The 21,606-nt window shown below is 44.1% G+C and overlaps 1 pseudogene, besides 1 other annotated feature; it reads right to left on the minus strand.

Moving 5' to 3' along the window:
• Window positions 4,193-5,516, minus strand: LOC100421204 (cyclic nucleotide gated channel subunit alpha 1 pseudogene; annotated as a pseudogene).
• Window positions 15,389-15,596: a silencer, noted in NCBI's record as "fragment chr11:72273300-72273507 (GRCh37/hg19 assembly coordinates)". NCBI's record gives its function as "represses an EF-1alpha promoter that drives an FKBP-Casp9 reporter gene in an ReSE screen in phorbol 12-myristate 13-acetate-treated (for megakaryocytic differentiation) K562 erythroleukemia cells {active_cell/tissue: K562(+PMA)}" and the evidence as "EXISTENCE:reporter gene assay evidence [ECO:0000049][PMID:32094911]".

Here is a 21,606-nt window from a genome sequence, read left to right on the forward strand (position 1 = left end):
CCGCAGGAACAAGCTGCCGGAAGAGTATTCAAGTCAAGGTCATGCTGGAACGGTGTTAAATAAAAATCTATCAATTAACAAATCCATAGGGGCCTGTTTCCCTTCTGCTCTTGGTACTGTGGAGGAGACCTGGAAACATGTACCCTTTGTTCTGAAAGTGTTGACAGTGGAGTGGGAAGCGGTCTGATGAAAGAACACACTCAGCAGCACACAGTTAATTGCTGGATACCATAAAGCTCGGGGGCTTTGCAAAGGGGAAGCGCCTTCGATGGGGAAGTCTTCCTGGAGGACAAGAGGCTGGACCAGGGCTTCAGAAGTCGAGTGGGATGTGTTGAGCTGTCATTAGCCCATCTGTGATTTCTGCCTGGAGAGGCGGGTGAGCTGAGGGAGGCAAGCTGCCTCGTGAGCCTCCAGAACACAATAGAGGCTCGGTGAGTGTTAACGCCCTGCTGATCCTCTGCACAAGGTGGTTTAGAAAAATGTTTTTCTCCTCAGATTCATTCACTCAACAAATATATTTATTAGGCCTTTACTACAGATGAGGAACTGCTGTAGATGCTATAAATATACCTATGGACAGAACACACACAGTTCCTGACCTCAAAGAGCTTCTATTCTAATGAGGGAGACAGGTGTTAAATTAAAAAAAAAAAAAACCCCAAAGCTGGAGGGGGCAGCATTAACAAACTCAGGACTGGGCAGCTTTCTTTTTTCCTCAAGGTTTCTGTCTTCCCTGATGGGTTGCACATGTGTTATGTTGCCCAAGCAACTCATCAGACAGCCCTGCTTCCTGGGGCACATAGAAAATAGTGGCCTGGCGAGGGTACCAGCTGTGGGTGCTTGTGCAGCCTCCACACTGCAGGCCAGTCCTGTGTCTCTTCATCCAGAAGGGTCCTTTTCTTCTTCCTCTACCTGGGGAATCCTTCCTCCTTGGCCAGAACTGAGCTGATTGCAGTTGATCATCCCAAACTGTGACACTCTGCAAGGTGAAAGGGGGCACTATTATAATCACACCAAACAACAGGCAAACCAAGACACGTGGTCTCCTATCCAGAGCCCAGTTCTGACATCTCATCCTCTAGACACCATTCCCTATGTTAGATCATTATTTCCTAAACTGTGTTCTGTGGAACATCTGGGAGACCTCAATAGGTGTTTCAGAAAAACAAAAACAAACTGAAAATCCCACATTGAAATTATTTTGAGAAAGTCTGAGTTAACCCAAGGCGAACAGATTTCCTTACTGCAGGACTCCCAAAATGAATATGTATTGGTAAGAGTATAGCATGTCATGTTTCCCAAACTCATTTGACCATGAAGTCCTTTGTGCAGAGAGCATCTCATGGAAGTAACACACTTTGAGAAATACTGTCCTAGACAAATAGAATTGTTCCCAGAGTTTAGACTTATCCCTGTCCTGATGTTTAGTATGAATGTATGAATATTAGGACGAAGATGGGCTCATGTCCAGCTCTGCCTCTTTCCAGCTGGTTACCATTTTGCATCAGGATGCTTTTGGCTGCAAGTAACAATTATTAGTAGGTATTATGGTTTATTACCCTTGACAACTAATAAGAAATAAAACCAACACTGTGGAGTGGCAAACACAAGAGAAGCCTTTTTAATCAGGGTCTTAAGGATTGCAATTTGGGAGTCACAAATTTAGCAAGCAGCTAAATCGTGTTCTGTCCAGGCGAGGTTGGGCAGGAGCTTATGAAAGTTTACTGTAAGTCTACACAGGGGGAAGAATTTGGCACAGTCTACGTCAATGTGGCTTGCTGACAGTTTAGAATGCCTCTTCGGTGACGATTAGCTGAATTTGATGCCACTGTCTCCCCAGGAGATTTATGATCAGTCCTAATATAAAGAGTTCAAATCAAATGCAGCTGCTTCTTAAGAATGTTGGTGACTTAGCCCAGTTGAACAGGTGAAATTCCAGCTGAGTGTGTATGTGATTGGGTCCCAACTCCTCATGCTCATGCCCTCCCGGCTCCTTCTTAGAGGCCTCTGACATAACCATCTCCATTTTGGATTTCATTTTACACTCTTACAACAAGAACTTCTGAGCATAGCACAGAATTTTCCTCAAGGGCCCGGATGTCCATTTATTTTTTATTTATTTATTTTTTTTGAGACGGAGTCTCGCTCTGTCGCCCAGGCTGGAGTGCAGTTGTGCGATCTTGGCTCACTGCAAGCTCCGCCTCACGTGTTCACGCCATTCTCCTGCCTCAGCCTCCCGAGTAGCTGGGACTACAGGCACCCACCACCATGCCCAGCTAATTTTTGGTATTTTTAGTAGACACAACATCTCTCTGTGTTAGCCAGGATGGTCTCGATCTCCTGACCTCGTGATCCACCAGCCTCGGCCTCCCAAAGTGCGGGGATTATAGGCATGAGCCACTGTGCCTGGCCCAGATGTCCATTTCTTCACGCTGCCATCTTTAGCCTGTTGCTTGTCTCCAATCATGGTGCAGGATGACTACAGCAGCTCCAAAAATAACCCACAGAAGACATCCAGTCAAAGGGGGCATTTCCTGCCACGTATGTCTTTACCATTTATTCTTAGCAAGAAAAGCGTTTTCCAGATGCCACCTCACACACACACACAGACACACAGACACAGACACAGACACACAGACACACACACACACACAGCCTACCCACACACCCCTATAGAAGTCTTTTCCTCAGGTCTCAGTGACCAACCATCCCAGTTTGCCCAGGGCTGAGGGATTTCCAGCAGGCAGCATTACTAGTACTAAACCTGGGACATTCCTAGGCAAGCTTGGACAAGTTGGTAACTGGATTGAAATGGACCACATGACTGTCTAAACCACAGTATCACCATGATTGGTTTAGACTAATCAGGAATACACCCTGAGGCTAGAAAGGGGGCCAGCTTTCCTGAATATGGAATGATGAATGCCCCAACAAAACCTACTTTCTTACAGTGAGGAAGAGGGGCAAAAGTTACTGGATAAGTAATCAACAGGGCTCCCTTCTCTGTAAAAATTCTCTCCTCATGCTCTTCTTATAAAGATTAGATGACATGATATGCAATGGTTCCTCATAGAGAAACAAAGATAGAGCATCTTTTTTTTTTTTTTTTTTTGAGACAGGGTCTTGCTCTGTTGCCCATGCTGAAGCGCAGTGGCATGATCATAGCTCACAATAGCATCTTTTTATTAGGTACTTACCATGTATATGCACTGTGCTAAAACTGTCAAATGCAGTAAAGGCATTACATGTGTTAGGTCACTACATCCATACGACACGCTAAGGAACAGGGATGTGAATCCTATTTTACAGATATTCCTGAAACATAGAGAAGTTAAGTGATTTACCCAAGGTCAAGCAGCTAGTAAGCAGTCAAGCCAGGTCTCAAACCAAAGTCTGTCTGATGCCATGATGCTCCTCTTTTTTAAGTAACTAATCTTACTTTATTACATTCTAATTTTTTTTTTTTTTTTTTTTTTTTTTGAGTGGAGTCTCGCTCTGTCACCCAGGCTGGAGTGCCGTGGCGCAATCTCGGCTCACTACAAGCACCGCCTCCCGGTTTCACACCATTCTCCTGCCTCAGTCTCCCGAGTAGCTGGGACTACAGGTGCCTGCCACCATGCCCGCCTAATTTTTTGTATTTTTAGTAGAGATGGGTTTTCACCGTGTTAGCCAGGATGGTCTGAATCTCCTGACCTCGTGATCCGCCCACCTTGGCCTCCCAAAGTGCTGGGATTACAGGCGTGAGCCACTGCACCCGGCCTACATTCTAATTCTTTTAAAAATGGTTTCTCCAACATGATGTACAAGCTAATTTCTGGTTACTCTGAATATATTTTATTCCTCAACAAGTCAAATTGCCTGAAAGCAAGGGATGCTTGTTTACTTTTATAAACACTATTACATAAAAAGAACATTATGTGAAAAAAGATACAGATACTAATAAATTAGTCACTGTATGTCTTTGCACATTGTCTATTGTAAAACTTCCCAAGATATGATGATTCTTTAATCGTAGTACCTTGAATGTGAGTATGTGGGCCTTGTGCCCTGAGCCTAAGCAGTTTCCTTATGGAAAAATTCCCTAGTTGAGTTTTCTTCTTCCAAATTACAATTGCCTTTAGTCACATGACCAAAAGGATCATGGGATGTGTCCTTGTTAATGACCAGCTTTTCACTCCTGTGTAGGAATCGTGGGCCCACTTTCCATTCCAGGTCCTTCGATATCTGAACATTCTGTGTCAACAAGCGAGATCAGATATTTCTCAGCTTTGGTTAATCTTTGCTTCAGTTTCTGCCTCATTGACTCATAGCCAGCCAGGATCCAGGCAAAACTTGTTTTCAGGAGTCTACTGACCCCTCCATTAGGATGGCCCCCTCTTCAAAATCTTCAGGCTCACTTCTGGCATCTGCAGTATTTATATCCACATTCATCTTTCATCAAGATTTGCTTCCCTTTCTCTTCCAGCAGAGCTTTGGCATCTGGGTACTCAGAGCTTCCATGAAGTCATCTTCTGAGAGACAGAACAAGTCTGAGTAGCCGACACTTTAAATATTTGCCATTCTTTGATTGCCAGTTCTGCTGCCTTTAATGATAATGCTGACCTCTCTGGGTGCGGTGGCTCACACCTGTAATCCCAACACTTTGAGAGCCCAAGGTGGGCAGATCATGTGAGCCCAGGAGTTCTAGACCAGCCTGGGCAATGAGAGGAAACCCCATCTCTACAAAAAATACAAAACAACTAGCTGGGTATGGTGGCATGCACCTGTAGTCCCAGCTACTCGGGAGGCTGAGGTGAAGAATTGCTTGAGCCCGGGAGGTGGAGGTTGCAGTAACCCAAGATCATGCCACTGTACTCCAACCTGGGCAATAGAGTGAGACTCTGTCTCAAAAAAAAAAAAAAATGCTGACCTCATCAAAGTAGCTGCCATCACTCAGTACCACAAACTGAGTGACTCCCTCATCTCATCATCTGCCACCATGACGAGTTTACCTCCTTTGATTACTTACGTCTCTCATACAATGTCCCCTTTCTCACAAATGTAATCTCCAGGCTGGGTGCGGTGGCTCCATGCCTGTAATACCAGCACTTTGGGAGGCCAAGGCAGGAGGCTCGCTTGAGGCCAGGAGTTCAAGACCAGCCTAGACATCATGGTGAAACCTCGTCTCTACAAAAAATACAAAATAATAATAATAATAATAATAACCAGGCGTGGTGTCGCATGCCTGTAGTCTCAGCTACTCAGGGGACTGAGGCAGGAGAATCGCTTGAACCCAGGAGGCAAAAGTTGTAGTGAGCCGAGATCACACCACGGCACTCCAGCCTGGGTGACAGAGCGAGACTCCCATCAAAAAAAAAAAAAAAGCCAATATTCTGGGTAATTACACTGAAGTTCATCAAAACAGGCCATCTCAGTAACCATAACCCAGGTGTACATTTAAGAGGTTCCGCCATGCAAAACAGCCAGTTGTAACATGTGTTTCCCAAGGGATCAATAAATGCAACTTCTTTCTTATCCAATTTATTATAAAGGATACAACTTAGGAATAGACAAGTGAAAGAAATGCATCATATGTAGGAATGGGGAGGAGCTTCCATGCCCTCTCCAAGTGTGCCACCCTCCGAGCACCTCGATGTGTTCACCAGCCCAGAACATCAACCATGGTGCCCTCTTAATCTCTCTACACTCTTCCCACAGTTGTGCATCCAATGTTAACTTCTTTCCTGTTAATCTCCAGCACCTGGTACAGATAGCAAGCATTCATTAAATATTTTTTAAATGAGTACATGGTAACAGCTGACATTTCTGCAACCATTATGGTTTATAAAGAACTTTTTTCTGAACTCAGGATTTTCTCCCCCAGATCTGGTCCTCTTTCATGGCTTCTTCTCCTAGCAAATGGCACCGACATCTATGCAGTCACACAAACCAGAAAACAGAGTCACCAACCCCCCTCTTTCCATTCCACACATCATATCCAGCCCATGACCAAGAGCATCTCTCACATCTGTGCATTTCTCTCTCTCCTCCATGACTTCAGGCCAAGGGATGATTATGTTCTCGCCTGGGCTGTTGCAGGAGCTTCCTGCCTGGTCTTCCCATCGCAGAGAACCTATTTCCAGACTGTTCTCTGTGCTGCAGACACCAGGTTCTGACTGGGTCACCTGCCTACTTAAAACCCTTAATGTTCACTCCTTTTGGGATAAAGCCCAAACTCCTTAACGCAGCCTGGCCTCTGCCTGCCTCCCTTGCCTCATCTTACCAACAATCCTCTCTCTTTCACACTCTACAGCCACCCCAACCATGGAAGCTCCATTCCTCTGCCTACATACCTTACCCTGCGCATTTCTTCCACTCAGCTATTCCTGAGTTGTATCCTTTATAATAAATTAGTAAAGCTTCTTTAAGTTCTTCCTTCTTGTTGGGCCTCATCCTGCCTCCAGACCTTTGCACAAACTGTTTCTTCCCCTCTTTGCCTCTTATACCTCAGGTGTTAGCCCAGGCATCTCTCCGTCTACTGTGACCCCTCTGACCACCATAATTAGGTCAAATCCCCTCATGTAGACTCTTGTGGCATCACCTACTTTTCCTTAATGGCCCAGTTGCAGTTTTATTTTTGCTTTGGTTTTATTTGATTAGTGTCTGTTTCTCGGCTAGTCTGTGTGCTTGCTGTCTGGTTTTGTTTACCTCTGCAGCCTTTCCAATCCCTGGTCAGGAACAGCGCATAATATGTTTTCAATAAACATGTGTTGAATTAATCCATTAACATTTCATTCCGGTTATTGTGAGCTCCCTCAGGGCAGGACCCCTGCCTTAATGCTCTCTCCCCTCTACCCCAGCAGTGAGCCCAGGGCTGGGGCTGGGGAAGTGTGTAATGAGCATTCTGTGAGGGACAGATGACCACATGGCTGATGGATGGGAGTGCTTGTAGAAACAACCTGTCAGGGAATTAGGCAAGCAGGCCAGGAAACGTGAAAGAGCTGCAGAAGGATGTGGTCTAAGGTGGAGGCAGCCATGGCCTGATTGGGGAAGGAGGGTCTGGAGCATAAATCATAGATGGCATGGAGCAGTTGCGCCCCCTTGAGTCAAGGGGGCCAGCTTCTTGTGTGTGCATCCCAGATGGTCTTCGGGGATTGGGCTATCCTGCCAGCTGGACCCAAGATGCCAAGCTGGAAAATGATGGTCATCAGCTAAGTCTCCTCCTCCCTCCCATCTATCTATGTCCTGTGACCTGAGGGGTCCCTCCCTGACCCACTCACCGTGTTGGTTTCCTAGGGCTGCTGGAACTAACGGTCACAAACGGGTGACTTCAAACAACAGAAATGTATGGTCTCACAGTTCTGGAGGCTGAACGGCTGAAATCACAGTGGTGTCGGCCGTGTTCTCTCTGAAGGTTCTAGGGATCTCTCCTTGCCTCTTCCAGCCTCTGGAGATTGCTAGCTTCGGTTCCTTGGTTTGTGGTAGCACAACTGCAGTCTCTGCCTCCGTCTTCATATGGGCTTCTTCCTGTGCGTCTGTGTTATTTCCCTCTTCTCATAAGTCTTCTTACACCAGATGCTGGATTACAGCTCACCACAATATGATCCATCTTAACTTGATCACACCTTCAAAAAAACACCCTATTTCACACTCATTGATAGTGGAGGTGAGGACTTGCACAGATCTAGAGACTGGAGGACGTAGTTCAACCCACAACAGCTACCAACCTGGAGTGCTATAGTTGTCTGTTTTGAACCCAAGTCTCTTCTGCTCTTCTGTGTCTGAAGCTAAAGCCCTCTTCCTGGGAGTCCCTTCTGGCCCCTCTGTCTTTGTCTGAAGACAAAATGAGGAATGAGCTCCCTCCTTCCCAGAAATGCACCTTCATGGAGCCCTGCACTTCAGAGAGCTGCAGCTTTAACAGTGGCTGAAACCTCTCATGCCTTAAATATCCTCACAGCAGCCTTAACAAGGTTTATTATTTTTTAAAAATGTCACTAGGTTTTAAAATGTCACTAGGAGAACAGGTGGTGTTTGGTTACATGAATAAGTTCTTTAGTGGTAATTTCTGAGAGTTTGGTGCACCCATCACCTGAGCAGTGTACGCTGTATCCAATGTGTAGTCTTTTATCCCTCAACCCCCTCCCACCCTTTCCCCCAAGTCCCCAAAGCCCATTGTATCATTCTTATGCCTTTGCATCCTCATAGCTTAGCTCCCACTTACAAATGAGAACATACGATGTTTGGTTTTCCATTCCTGAGTTACTTCACTTAGAATAATGGTCTCCAATTCCATCCAGATTGCTGCAAATGCCATTACTTCATTCCTATACATGCATACATACACACATACCTATATATTTCATTCCTATATATACATACATACCACAATTTCTTCATCCACTCATTGATTGATGAGCATTAGGGCTGGTTCCATATTTTTGCAATTGCAAACTGTACTGCTATAAACATGCGCATACAAATATCTTTTTTGTATAATGACTTCTTGTCCTCTGGGCAGATACCCCAGGAGTGGGATTGCTGGATCAAATGGTAGTTCTACTTTGAGTTCTTCAAGGAATCTCCACACTGTTTTCCACAATGGTTTTACTAATTTACATTCCCACCAACAATGTAAAAGTGTTCCCTTTTCACCACATCCACGCCAACATCTATAATTTTTTGATTTTTTTTATCACGGTCATTTTTGCAGGAATAAGATTGTATCACATCGTAATTTTGATTTGCATTTCCCTGATCATTAGTGATGTTGAGCATTTTTTCAGAAGTTTGCTGGTCATTTGTTTATCTCTTAAGGTTTGTGGCCGGGGCGGTGGCTCATGCCTGTAATCCCAGCACTTTGGGAGGCCGAGGCGGGCGAATCATGAGGTCAGGAGTTTGAGACCTGCCTGGCCAACATAGTGAAACCCTGTCTCTACTAAAAATACAAAAAAATAGCCACGCATGGCAGCGTGCGCCTATAGTCCCAGCTACTTGGGAGGCTGAGGCAGGAGAATTGCTTGAACCCGGGAGGCGGAGGCTGCAGTGAGCCGAGATCATGCCACTGTACTCCAGCCTGGACGACAGAGCAAGACTCCGTCTCAAAAAAAAAAGAAAAAAAGAATGTTTATCATTATTCCCATTTTATAGATGAGGAAGCTGAGACTTGGGAAAGTTAACAGCCTTACACAAAGCCATGCAGCAAGGAAATGGCAGAGCAGGGACTTGAAGCAGTTCTGCCTGATGCTAGAGATCATGCCCTGAACCACTGCATTCTACTGTCTAGATGCTTCCCCTTGGCGGGCAGCTGCCAGCCGTCAAGAGGGTCCATGGGAAGCACATCCCACAACTTAGAAAAGTGACACGGAAAACTAAAAGCTTAAGAGAGAAAACAAAATTGGGGGCCTGTGTTTTGGTCACTAGGAAGACCCAGGGATGAGGAGTCACATGAAGAGATTAAAAACAGATGCTTAGGGGCAGTTTGGGGTGACATTTCTTTAAGGAGGATTTTTTTCCATTGGTGATATTTTAGAATTTATTTGATGGCAACATAGTATAAATTTTGTTCTTTTTCTCTGACCTACTTTTATATGCCCCACTCATAGTGAATGTCGTTTTGCATCCTGGAACCTGCCAGTGTCCTGGAAGCCAGTTTGTTTTGATCCATGTTCAGCCAGTCATGCAAGCAGGATTCCGTCGTGAACATGATTCCCATTGATGGGAGGCCTGGCTGTTTGTCATGCAGGCATGGTTTTGCTGGGCAGACTGTTTTCTTCTGTTGAATGAGGTGACTTGTGTGACCGTGATCACCACTGAGATAGTACTGAAGCTCTGCAGGCCAGCCCAGGGCTCCTGAGTAGATGAAATCGCTCAGATTGGATTTTTAATAATAAATGACTCACATGTCATTTAAGCTTTCAGTGAATTTTTGCTGAGTCCATACTCCATCTCAGGTTCTGTGTTGGGTGCTAAGGACATAAAATGAACTAGATTTAGTCTCTCCCCTCAAGGAACTCAGGCTATATTAGAAGAGAAGACAGGCAATTACAACCAATGGGATCAGTGCTTCAAGAAAGCTGCACCAGTCAGCGTTCTTAGCTGTGTACGCCATACAGGTTTAAGTAGAAGGAGAAGAGAACTAGGCTTAGTGCTACACAGCCAAAGACAACAGGGCCAGGGACAATGCAGCCAGCCAAAACGCCCAACTGTGCCACGGGAATTTCTACTGGAAACACTACCTGTAACTTGGCACCTATGTGAGGTTCTGGCTATTAGAAACTCCCCCATGGACAGCCCTGAAATACCCAGACACCTCTGTCACAGCTCCTTTCCAGATGATTCTATCCACCTGCATGCAGTCATCAATGCCTAGGATGTACTTCCACCTCCACATCTGACTGGGGCACTTTCCTGATGGAACTCAGGTCACACATGAAACCCAAGCTGCAGAGGAGCCTAGAAAATGTCATTTTAGTTTTCCAGCTTCTACAACAGGAAGGCAGTCTAGAAGGGATTGGGCAAGTAGGTAATTGTAACTGCTATTTTGGAAAAATATATGCACCAGTGAGCTGGGCCAGATCACAGAGAGTTTGCTTGGGTACAAAGATTGGTAAGAATAGCGATTCAGACCAGGGTTCAAGGGTGCTTCCACTTTGGTTCACTGCTGAGAGAGCAAATAAGCTGGTAAAGGTAGAGATACAAATATGCCCTCATACAGGGGCACTTGGAGCCAAATGGTCAAAGCACAGCAACAAATCCACCAGGGCAGGGAAGCCCTTGCTGCCCATTGGCAACCCTTTATTCTGCTGGGCTGAGGGGGAGTGTCCACATCAGCACTGTTGGCATGAAGTGGATTCCTTGTTTTGCCAGTGTCAACTTCTGTGTCCCCCTCTCTCTGCATCATCAAGCCTATCATAATGTGGCCTTGACCCACCACAGCGACATAAATATTTCAGTGATCAATATCAATATCCAATTGTGATTGGATCCCAATATTACTGGCTAAAAGTGGAGTTGGAGGAAGGATAATGTCTATATTAAAGCTTCTGGGATTTTTTTCCTTTATATCCTTTTTTCTTATATATATATGATATAGAAATAGAAACAGAATTTACCTGTGGTAACAAGTTGATCAATTATTTGGTGCAAATATTTTAAGAGACATTTTGATTACTCAGTAGTAAATCCAAAATCTTATTCTGATATGAAGGAGTTCTAAGCAATGAGATGCTAATTTGTTCTGCATTAAAGTGTAAATGTTGACTGAGAGGCATATGCTAAACTAGAGAGACAGAGGGAAACTAGTTTTCCATCTCACCAGGCATCAGATAAGAAGGTGGAATGCCCTGACTCCAGGTAGGGACACATTCTTGGTGATAGATCAGGAGCTGGAGAAAGAGACTTCCACCAGGGACCCTTCTCTTCCAAGGAAGTATGTTAAGTTTAAACCCTAAAGACAATAATATAGTGGCTAATTTAAAATGTTTTCCCTATCTCTACATTATGATTTCTTTCCTGTTATCCCAGGATTTTAGTAGAATTTTGTAGAACTTTCTTACCATGCTTTGGGAATTATGGGAAATACACTTATCTATACTTGATGAAGTTAGATTGAGGAAAGGCAAAATCATCACAGATTCAAGAAATACTATTTGCAAACCACACTGAAAAAGACATGCTATGAATCTCAAACAGAATAAATACAAAGAAAACCACATCTAAGCACATTGTGATAAAACTTCTGCAGACCAAAAATAAAGATAAATTATTCAAAGCAGCCAGAGAAAAACATGTATTACTTTCAAAGGAGAAATAATAAGACTGATGGCTGACTTTTCATCAGAAACAATAGAAGTCCAGGGGCTGGGCGCAGTGGCTCACACCTATAATCCCAGCAATTTGGGAGGCTGAGGCGGGTGGATCACAAGGTCAGGAGATCGAGACCATCCTGGCTAACACACGGTGAAACCCCGTCTCTATGAAAAATACAAAAAAATTAACTGGGCGTGGTGGTGGGCACCTGTAGTCCCAGCTACTCGGGAGGCTGAGGCAGGAGAATGGCGTGAACCCAGGAGGCAGAGCTTGCAGTGAGCGAGATCACGCAACTGCACTCCAGCCTGGGCAACAGAGCGAGACTCTGTCTCAAAAAAAAAAAAAAAAAAAAAAAAAGCAACAATAGAAGTCCAAAGAGAATAGAATGTTATCTTCAAAGGGCTAAGAGAAATACTTCCTAACCTAGAATTCAATAGCAGCAAAAATATCCTTCAAGAATAAAGAAGAAATATTTTTTTATTTTTTATTTTAATTAAAAATACAGGATGCATGCCTGCCTCTTTCTCCCAATCTCTTGAGAAAACACCCAGTTGGAAGGGGAGAGGACCTTGCCTTCAGGGCAGGAGGTAGGCTCCGTTGCAAAGACATTTAATAACAGAAATAGTAGAATTCACCAGCAGCAGGCCTGCACTAAAGGAAATACTAAAAGGGTATTTTTCATGTCAAAAGGAATGATCACCCCAGATGGAAGCTTGAAGATGTGCATTAACAATAGAAATGAAGAAATAAATTCTAATATATTCATACAATGGTATATTCAAAACATATACAAGAGTTTCCTAGGAACATTGTTCCCAACAGCCAGAAGCTTCATATCCAAATGTCTATTCACATTCAAACATGGAGTACTCTATAGCAGTACAAATTAATGAAATAGACATGCACTCCCATCCAAAATAGACTAATAAAGACTAAATTTACCCTCCTGTCTAAAATAACAAACAAAAAAGGGGCAAAAATCTATGAAATGAAGGTTTTCAAGGCATTGCATATCAGGCAATGACTTTGACTCCTAAGAAGAAGGAAACAGATGTGGTGAGCCCCACAATGCTCCACTTATTGCCTGGAGAGAGTTTCCATGCCACAGGCTAGGCGGGGGAACCGAGGGGAAGCCCAGAAGCCTCCCTGAGTTGAGGCGATGGAGTTAGGAGGCTGAGGAGGGCTTCTAAGCTGGAACACCCAGGGCAGGGTGCCAGAGAGCAAAAGTTGCCTAGAGAGAGAATTGGAGAGAGAATTTGGAGATTTTCATAGGGCCTCCTTCAGTCTTCAGTTGAGTTTGGATGACTGGGTGCGTTTAAATCCTGACTCAGCCACTTTCAGTCAATGAATATACCTGTTTGGACCACCTACTATGTCCCATACTCTGAGTAGGGATGTAGGAAACCAGAGCTGAGGCAGATCTGTTCCTGCCCTTAAGGGGCTCCCAGTCTACCTGGGAAGAGAATCTACCTGCCCCTAATAGGCACACGCTACCCAGGTGGTCTAAGCTGAGAGCCAGATAAATGGTTCAGAGGCAGGTGGGAAGAGAAAAGAGGATCGGCTGCTCTAACCCGCACCAGGCAGGTACAGGGGCACAGTGATTCATGGGAGATAAACCAGGGGCTGGTCTGTAAGGTGAGCCCAGCGTGGGGCCTGAGGCTGGACCAGAAACTGCCATTCCTGTGACAGGGCAGAGAACCTGGGCCAGGAAATGAGAGCTGGTACAGCATTCATTTTGTAAGAATTCCCATCAGCAAAAGGCTAGACGTTAAGTACATAATTTTTTTTTTTTTTTTTTTTTTTTTTTTGAGAGGGAGTCTTACTCTGTCACCCAGGCTGGAGTGCAGCGGCGTGATCTTGGCTCACTGCAAGCTCCGCCTCCCAGGTTCACGCCATTCTCCTGCCTCAGCCTCCCGAGTAGCTGGGACTACAGGTGCCCATCACCACACCCGGCTAATTTATTTGTATTTTTTAAATTTAAATTTTAATTTTTTTATTTTTTTGAGACAGAGTCTCACTCTGTTGCCCAGGCTGCAGTGCAGTGGCACCATCTCTGCTCACTGCAAGCTCCACCTCCCGGGTTCATGCCATTCTCCTGCCTCAGCCTCCTGAGTAGCTGGGACTACAGGCGCCGGCCACCACGCCCGGTTAGTTTTTTGTATTTTTCATAGAGACGGCGTTTCACCGTGTTAGCCAGGATGGTCTCGATCTCCTGACCTCGTGATCCACCCACCTCGGCCTCCCAAAGTTCTGGGATTACAGGCGTGAGCCACCGCACCCGGCCATTTTTTTTGTATTTTTAGTAGCGACAGGGTTTCACCGTGTTAGCCAGGATGGTCTCCATCTCTTGACCTCGTGATCCGCCCACCTCGGCCTCCGAAAGTGCTGAGATTACAGGCGTGAGTCACCGTGCCTGGCTTAAGTACATAATTTCTTTTGAGGAGAAGAGAGGAATGGCAGGGGAGGAGGGGGATGAAAAGGAATCCACCAATAAACCATGAGCAGGAGCTTGGAAGGACCAGTGATGGTTCCACGCTGTGAACTCAAGAGCAGGATTAGCTCAGCCCTCTGCACCAGCTCTCCCTTCGATCTTTGAGTGATCTTAGAATTTCCTACTCCTTCTAGGTCTCAGTTTCCTCATCTGACCCTGAAGGTGCTCTTTAAGCTCTATTTGCTCTGAAGGAGGGTTCACCAGCTGAACTTCTGGGCCTCAGTTTCCCTTGCCTACAAAGGGGATAATAATTCCTGACCGTCCTTGGGAGAGCCTTCCATTTAAGAGATTGTTCTTCAGCCACTGCCGAGAGGAGATGAGAAAGCCTCTGGCTGCAGATGCTGCAGGTACCTTCACCTCAACATGCCCTCCCAGACTGAGGGCTGCCCTCTCCACCTGGCCTCAGGAGCTGTTACAGGGTAGTAACTGGGTATAGGCTTCAGGCCAAAGATGGACTTTGGAGTTTGGGGACGGACAGGCGGTGGCTCCTAGGAGCTCTACACTTTGGAGTTTGAATCCAGGCTCCACCACTTCCTAGCTGGGTGGCCCTAGGCTCTTCAAGCTTCCTTTTCCACATCTGTATAAGGAGATTGCCAGTAATAAATGAAATAAACACAGGAAAGCACCCAAAATAGGCTTAGCTGATAGCCTGGCTCAGCCCAGGTTGAGGCCCCCTCCCTCCCTCCTGCCCACACTTGAGGCTTCACCATCGTGACCCTGGCTCAGGACACCTGCAATGATGCCTATGTGGGCTGTGGGAGGCCTGGAAGCACTCATGCTGAGGAACTCACCAGACCTATCCCCTCTCTGCCCTTCCCCTCCCAACCACACAACATTCCATCCCATCCACCCTGCTCCACCCCAGCTTACAAGCCCAGTCCTGGCCAACATCAACTTGTCCAACGCCCTGAACTGAGAGCTGAGCCAGGCCTTGTGGATAGGCAGAGGCTCCCGAGAGCTCTACATGAGGCACTTTCCCTTCAAGGCCCTGCATTTCTACCTGACCTGAGCCCCGCCACTGCTGCAGTGCAGAGGGATTGCTGTGGGCACCCTGGGAGGCAGTATTCCTAGGGATGGACAGCCTCCACTTTGAGCTTGGGAGGATAGGGGCCTCTGTCCAACAGGGCCTGTTCACCTCCAGCTGCCTCCAGGGGGTAGTCCTCAGTTTTGGAAATGCTGCATTTTTCTCCCTGCAGACCTGCTTCGGAGCTTCCATCCATGCCGGTCAGGCTTCCCAAGAGGTGCTACTTCCCCCCGTAAGGTTTTGTGGCTGCCAGCCTCTCCTGTGATGGGGCAGGTGTGCAGCCTAGTAACTCTTCAGAGCACCAAGCAGAATTGCAACCATCTCAACTGTGCCTGCCTGTCAGGTGAGCTCTCCTCAAGGTCTGCGCAAGCAGCCCGGCTCCCTCATTCATTCTCCATTCATTCACCCATCTATTCACTCATCATTGCATTGACTCACCCAATCCAGTCACTCTTTAACGTCTTGATTCATTCACTCAGTCATTCTGGCATGCACTCATTCATTCAATGGCCCATCCATTGCATTCACCAATTCACTTACTAATTCAATCATTAGCTCATTTCTTCTTTAACAGTTATTCATCTGCCCATTCATCCATTCACAGACTCCTTCATTCACTAAGTAAGCATTTAGCAAGGCTTTCTAAGGGCCAGGAATCAGATACTCTCTGAAAGGCTCTGCTTCCGGAGACAAATGCGTTCTCAAACAAGAACAATTAAGGAACTCAGAGGAGGCTGACTGGGGGCAGGTGTGCTTCTTGTTCCTATGATATTTGTTCCCCAGGCCTCAGGTGCAGAGGGCTGAGCTAATCCTACTCCTGAGTTCACAGCGTGGAACCATCATTGGCCCATACAGGGTCCTGCTCATGGTTTATTTACGGATTCCTTTTCATCTTCGTTCTTCCCTGCCATTCTTCTCTTCTCCTCAAAAGAATTTATGTACTTAATGTGAGCCTTTTGCCAATGGGAGTTCTTATAAATTGAATGCTGTTATTCTGAAGCCCAATATTTTAGTTTAGGTAAATTGTAGTGTATGATAGATCTCATTCTCTTTCTCTCTTTCTTCACTCAGCTGTATGTTTTTAGGATTCATGCTGCTATAGGTATGTCTATACATTATTTCTACCTGCTAAGTAGTACCCTGTAGTGTGCATACACCCTATTTTGCCCATCAACATGCTGTACATTCCGCCGGCATCTTCATTCCTGTGCCCTTTGAGCCTGTGGGAGGATTTCCCTGGGCTATATACCCAGGAGTGGCACTGCTGGTCTAGGGAATCTGGACACTTTGACGGAGTACTGCCATGTTGCTGTCCAGAAGCACAGCATCAGTCTACATTCCCATGGCCACTGTGTGAAAGTGTCCATTTCCCGGATCCCTGTCAACAATCGACATCATCTGGCTCTTTGAGTTCTGCCGCTGTAACAGGTGTAAAATATCTTCTTGTTTTCATTTCTGCTTCTCTGATAATCAAATAGTTTGAGCATCTCTTCCATAAATTGCTTATTCTGGGCTTTTCCTATTGGGGTTACTGTCCTCTTCTTGCTGGCTTGTGGGGATTTCTCATCTATTCCAGATATTAGCCTCTTGTCAATTTTAAACATTGCAAATAACATCTCTCCTTCTAGCGGCTCTCTATTAACCTTACCTTGACATCTGTCACTGAACAGAAATCCACAATTTCAATTTAATTGAATTCACAAATTGTTTTTCTTATGGTTTGTCTTCCATGCACACAAAGATGCTCTGTGTTTTCTTCTGTTGACCTGACACTCCTACCTTTCATGTTTAGTCTATAATCTGCCTGGCATCCACCTGTGTGTGTGATGGTAAGCAGGGATCCAGTCTTCTATTTCTGCATATTATGAGTGAGTTTTCCCAACAATCCATCCTTTCCCCTAGAAGTGGGAGTCCCATCTTTACTGGGTAGTATTGTAAAGTTCCTAGTTGTACATATGCTCCCCTCTGAGCTCTCTACTCTGTCCCATTAACGCTCTTGTCTCTCTGGCACCAATATCACCTTTTTTTCCTACTCTTGTGATGGATTACAATGTCACTTTTGGCTGGGTGCAGTGGCTCACACCTGTGATCCCAACACTTTGGGAGCCCGAGGCGGGAGGACCACTTGAGCCCAGGTGTTTGAGATCAGCCTGGACAACAGTGAGACCTCGTCTCTATTTTTTTTAAACTATAGTATCACTTAAAAATCATATTCTTTTTACTTTCACTTTTCAAATTTAACTTGCTGTTCACAGATTTTTATTTTTTCATGTATACTTAATAGGAGTTTATTGTGTTGCTCAAGAAACCAGCAGGAATTTGTATAGGGATTGTATTAAATATCTAAATTACTTTTAGTAAGGGAGGAGACCATCCCTTATATTGTCTTATGCCCAATTTCTGCCTCCAAAGAAAGAAGAAGTAAAAACTAAAAGGCAGAAATGAAATCCACAAGCAGACAGCCTGGCGCTACACCCGAGGCCTGGTTAAAGATCGACCCCCTGACCTAACCAGTTATGTTATCTATAAATTCCAGACATTGTATGGAAAAGCACTGTGAAAAATCCCGGTCCTGTTGTGTTCCATTGTGATTACCAGTGCATGCAGCCCCCAGTCACGTACCCCCTGCTTGCTCAATCGATCACGACCCTCTTATGTGGACCCCCTTAGAGTTGTAAGCCCTTAAAAGGGACAGGAATTGCTCACTCGGGAGCTCAGATTTTTGGAGACGTGAGTCTTGCCGAAGCTCCTGGCCGAATAAAGCCCCTCCTTCTCTAACTCGGTGTCTGAGGGTTTTTGTCTGCGGTTTGTCCTGCTACATTAAGAGAATTAACTTGTAGTAATATCAAGTCATTTCATCCAGAGCATGGAATCCTTCATTATTCAAATAATCTCCTTTTCTTATCAGATGTCTAGATATTGTCCCAAAGATAGCATTTTTATTCTTAGCTAGATTAATTTCTAAGATGTTTTATCATTTTTATTGCTTTTGTGAGTGGCATACTATTTTTGAGTTACATTTTCCAATTGGTTCTGGTTGTTGTAGAGAAATAGCATTAATTTTCATCTTATTTCCAGAAATACTGATAAACTCTCCTATTAGTTCTAATGGTTTGTCTGTTGATTCTATTTGCTTCTAGATAGACAATTGTATCATCTGTGAAAAAAGACACTCTAATCAGTTCCCTTCCAAAATGTACACCTATTTCTTTTCCTTTCATTAAAGCATTGGCCGGGACCTCTAGTACTAGGTGCAACAGGATTGGTGATAATGGGCATCCCTGTCTTATTTCTATTCACAGAGGAAATACATCAAAATTCCTCCATTGACTAAAATCTTAATTGGAGAGTTTTGGAATATTACCTCTTCCAAGTTAATTTCCCATATAATCCCAGTTCATTGAATTATTTTAAATCACAAATAGGTATCAATTTCATCAAATACTCTTTTCTACATCAATTGAAATAATCCTATAATTTTCTCCATAAGTCTATTAATATTGTGAATTATATGGATAGGTTTTCTGAGTGGAAACCATCCTTGCATCCCTTAGAAAAAAATTTCTATCTGATTATGATGCATTTTAAAATATTCATTTGCATCTGGTTAGCTAGCATTTTGAATATAGGATTTTTGCATCTAAACTCCTAGATGAAACTGAACTAATCTTGCATTATCTTATTTTGCGTTATCTGGTTTGAAAATCAAGAACAGGTTAACATCATAAAATGAACTGGGGAGTTTGCTTTGTTTTCTGGAATAACTTATATAAACCAGACACTTCCCAAAGTTTTAAAGTTTAGTGAACTTATCTGTAAAGCTATCTGGAAAATGAGTTTCTTTGAGAGGAGGTTTTTAACTGCCATTTCATTCCTTTAACATACATTGACCTATTCAAATTCTATATCGTGTGAATTTTATATTTTTCTAGAAATGTATCCATTTCATCCAAGTTTTTAAATTGTAATTTTTTTTTTTTTTTTTGAGATGGAGTCTCGCTCTGTCACCCAGGCTGGAGTGCAGTGGCCCGATCTCAGCTCACTGCAAGCTCCGCCTCCTGGGTTCACGCCATTCTCCTGCCTCAGCCTCCTGAGTAGCTGGGACTACAGGCGCCTGCCACCATGCCCGGCTAATTTTTTGTATTTTTAGTAGAGACGGGGTTTCACCATGTTAGCCAGGATGGTCTCGATCTCCTGACCTTGTGATCTGCCCGCCTCGGCCTCCCAAAGTGCTGGGATTACAGGCGTGAGCCACCACACCCAGCCTTTTAAATTGTAATTTTTAATGATACTCTTTTTTTATGTTTTTAACCCCTCTGGTATCTGTAAATATTGTCTGTCTTTTGTTCTATACTTAGTATGTCTACATCTTTCTTTTTTTATGATCAGTCTTATCAGAGGTCAGTCTTACTAATCTTTTAAAAGAACCAGCTTTTGGTTTGGGGAATCTCTAATTGCTGTTGTTGATGTTCTCTGGGTTATTTATTTCTGACCCATTTTAATTTTCCTCTTTTTGCTCTTTTGCTGTCTTTTGTCCAGCCTCTTAAGTTGAATGCTTAGTTCATTTTTAGTGTTCTGTTTCCCAATAAATGAATTTAAAGATATACATTTCACCAAGTACTGTTTTGGCTATTCCATAAATGTTGATACTGTATGTAGTGGAGATTTGTTTTTACAGTCTAGTTCTAAGTATTTCATCATTTCCTTTATAGTTTTCTTTTTAACCCAAGAGTAGTTTAATAACATACTACATCACTTCCAGATATATGGACATTTTAACCATTCTTTTGTGATTAATGTCTATTAATATCTATGTTTATTATATTATGGTCAGAAAACATTATGTCATGTTGATCCTTTGGGGCCTTTAGGCTTCTGTGGGGTCTCATAGTTCAGTGGTACCCAACCATTTTGGCACCAGGGATTGGTTTTGTGGAAGACAATTTTTCCACGGACGAGGAGTGGGGGATGGTTTCAGGATGATTCAAGTGCATTACATTTATTGTGCACTTTATTTCTATTATTATTACATTGTAATATATAATGAAATAATTACACAACTCACCAGAATGTAGAATCAGTGGGAGCCCTGAGCTTGTTTTCCTGCAACTAGACAGTTCCATCTAGGGGTGATGGGAGACAGTGACAGATCATCAGGCATTAGCTTCTCATAAGGAGTGTGCAACTTAGATCCCTCGCATGCCCAGTTCGCAATAGGGTTTGCGTTCCTATGAGAATCTAATGCCGCTGTTGATCCGACAGGAGATGGAGCTCAGGCGGTAATATTAGCGAGCAATGGAGAGAGGCTGTAAATACAGATGAAGCTTCGTTTGCTCGCCTGCCACTCACCTCCTGCTGTATGGCCTGGTTTCTAACAGGCCAGGGACTGGGACTGGTCCATGGCCTGGGGGTTGCGGATCCCTGTAACAGATGGTCAATTTTTCAAATACTCTGTATGTGCAGAAAATTGTATATTCTCTGTTGCATGTAGGGGATGTGTATATACAGTCTTTGACTGTCCCATCTTTATCCATTCCAACCAGCAGTGAATACTGTTAGGAACTCTGATGATAACCTGGTTCATTCTCCTTTTTAGGTGACCTGCATTTTCTCTCTGGAAGTTTTTGGAATTTTCTCTTTGCATTGGTAGTGTTAAATTTATGAAATAATGCATCTGGTTGGAAGTTTGTCCTTATCTCCCATGATTGACACTCTCAGATCCCTTTAAATTTTAGGTCTTTCAATTTTTTAATATAGTATATTTATGTCCACTGTTTCTATAAATATTTCCTCCAATTTGTTTATCCTTTCATCTGGGATATCTATTGCCTGGATGTTGGCATTTCTACTTCTATCCTCCACATCTCTTATATTTTATTTTCTCGTATACCTTCTATTTCTTGATCCCTTTCCAACCGCCTTTATCAAGAGTTTGTCCAGCTGATCCTCAAAGTTCACTATTTCTCTCTTCAGTTGAATCCTCCCTGCTCTTCTCATCTGTCCCCTTCTTTATTCCAACTATAATCTTTTCATCCCTGATACTTCTACTTGGCTCTTTTTTTGTTTGTTTTTTTGTTTTGTATTTTTGAAGACAGGATCTTGTTCTGTTACCAAAGCTGGAGTGCAGTGGCACAATCATGGCTCACTGCAGTCTCGACCTCCTGGGCTCAAGCGATCCTCCCACCTCAACCTACCGAGGAGCTGGGACTATACAGGTGTATACTACCACACCCAGCCAATTTGGGTATTTTTTTTTTGGAGAGACAGGGCCTTGCTATGTTGCCCAGGCTGGTCTCAAATGGTT

The sequence above is a fragment of the Homo sapiens genome, chromosome 11, assembly GCF_000001405.40.
Source record: "Homo sapiens chromosome 11, GRCh38.p14 Primary Assembly".
Lineage (NCBI taxonomy): Eukaryota > Metazoa > Chordata > Mammalia > Primates > Hominidae > Homo > Homo sapiens.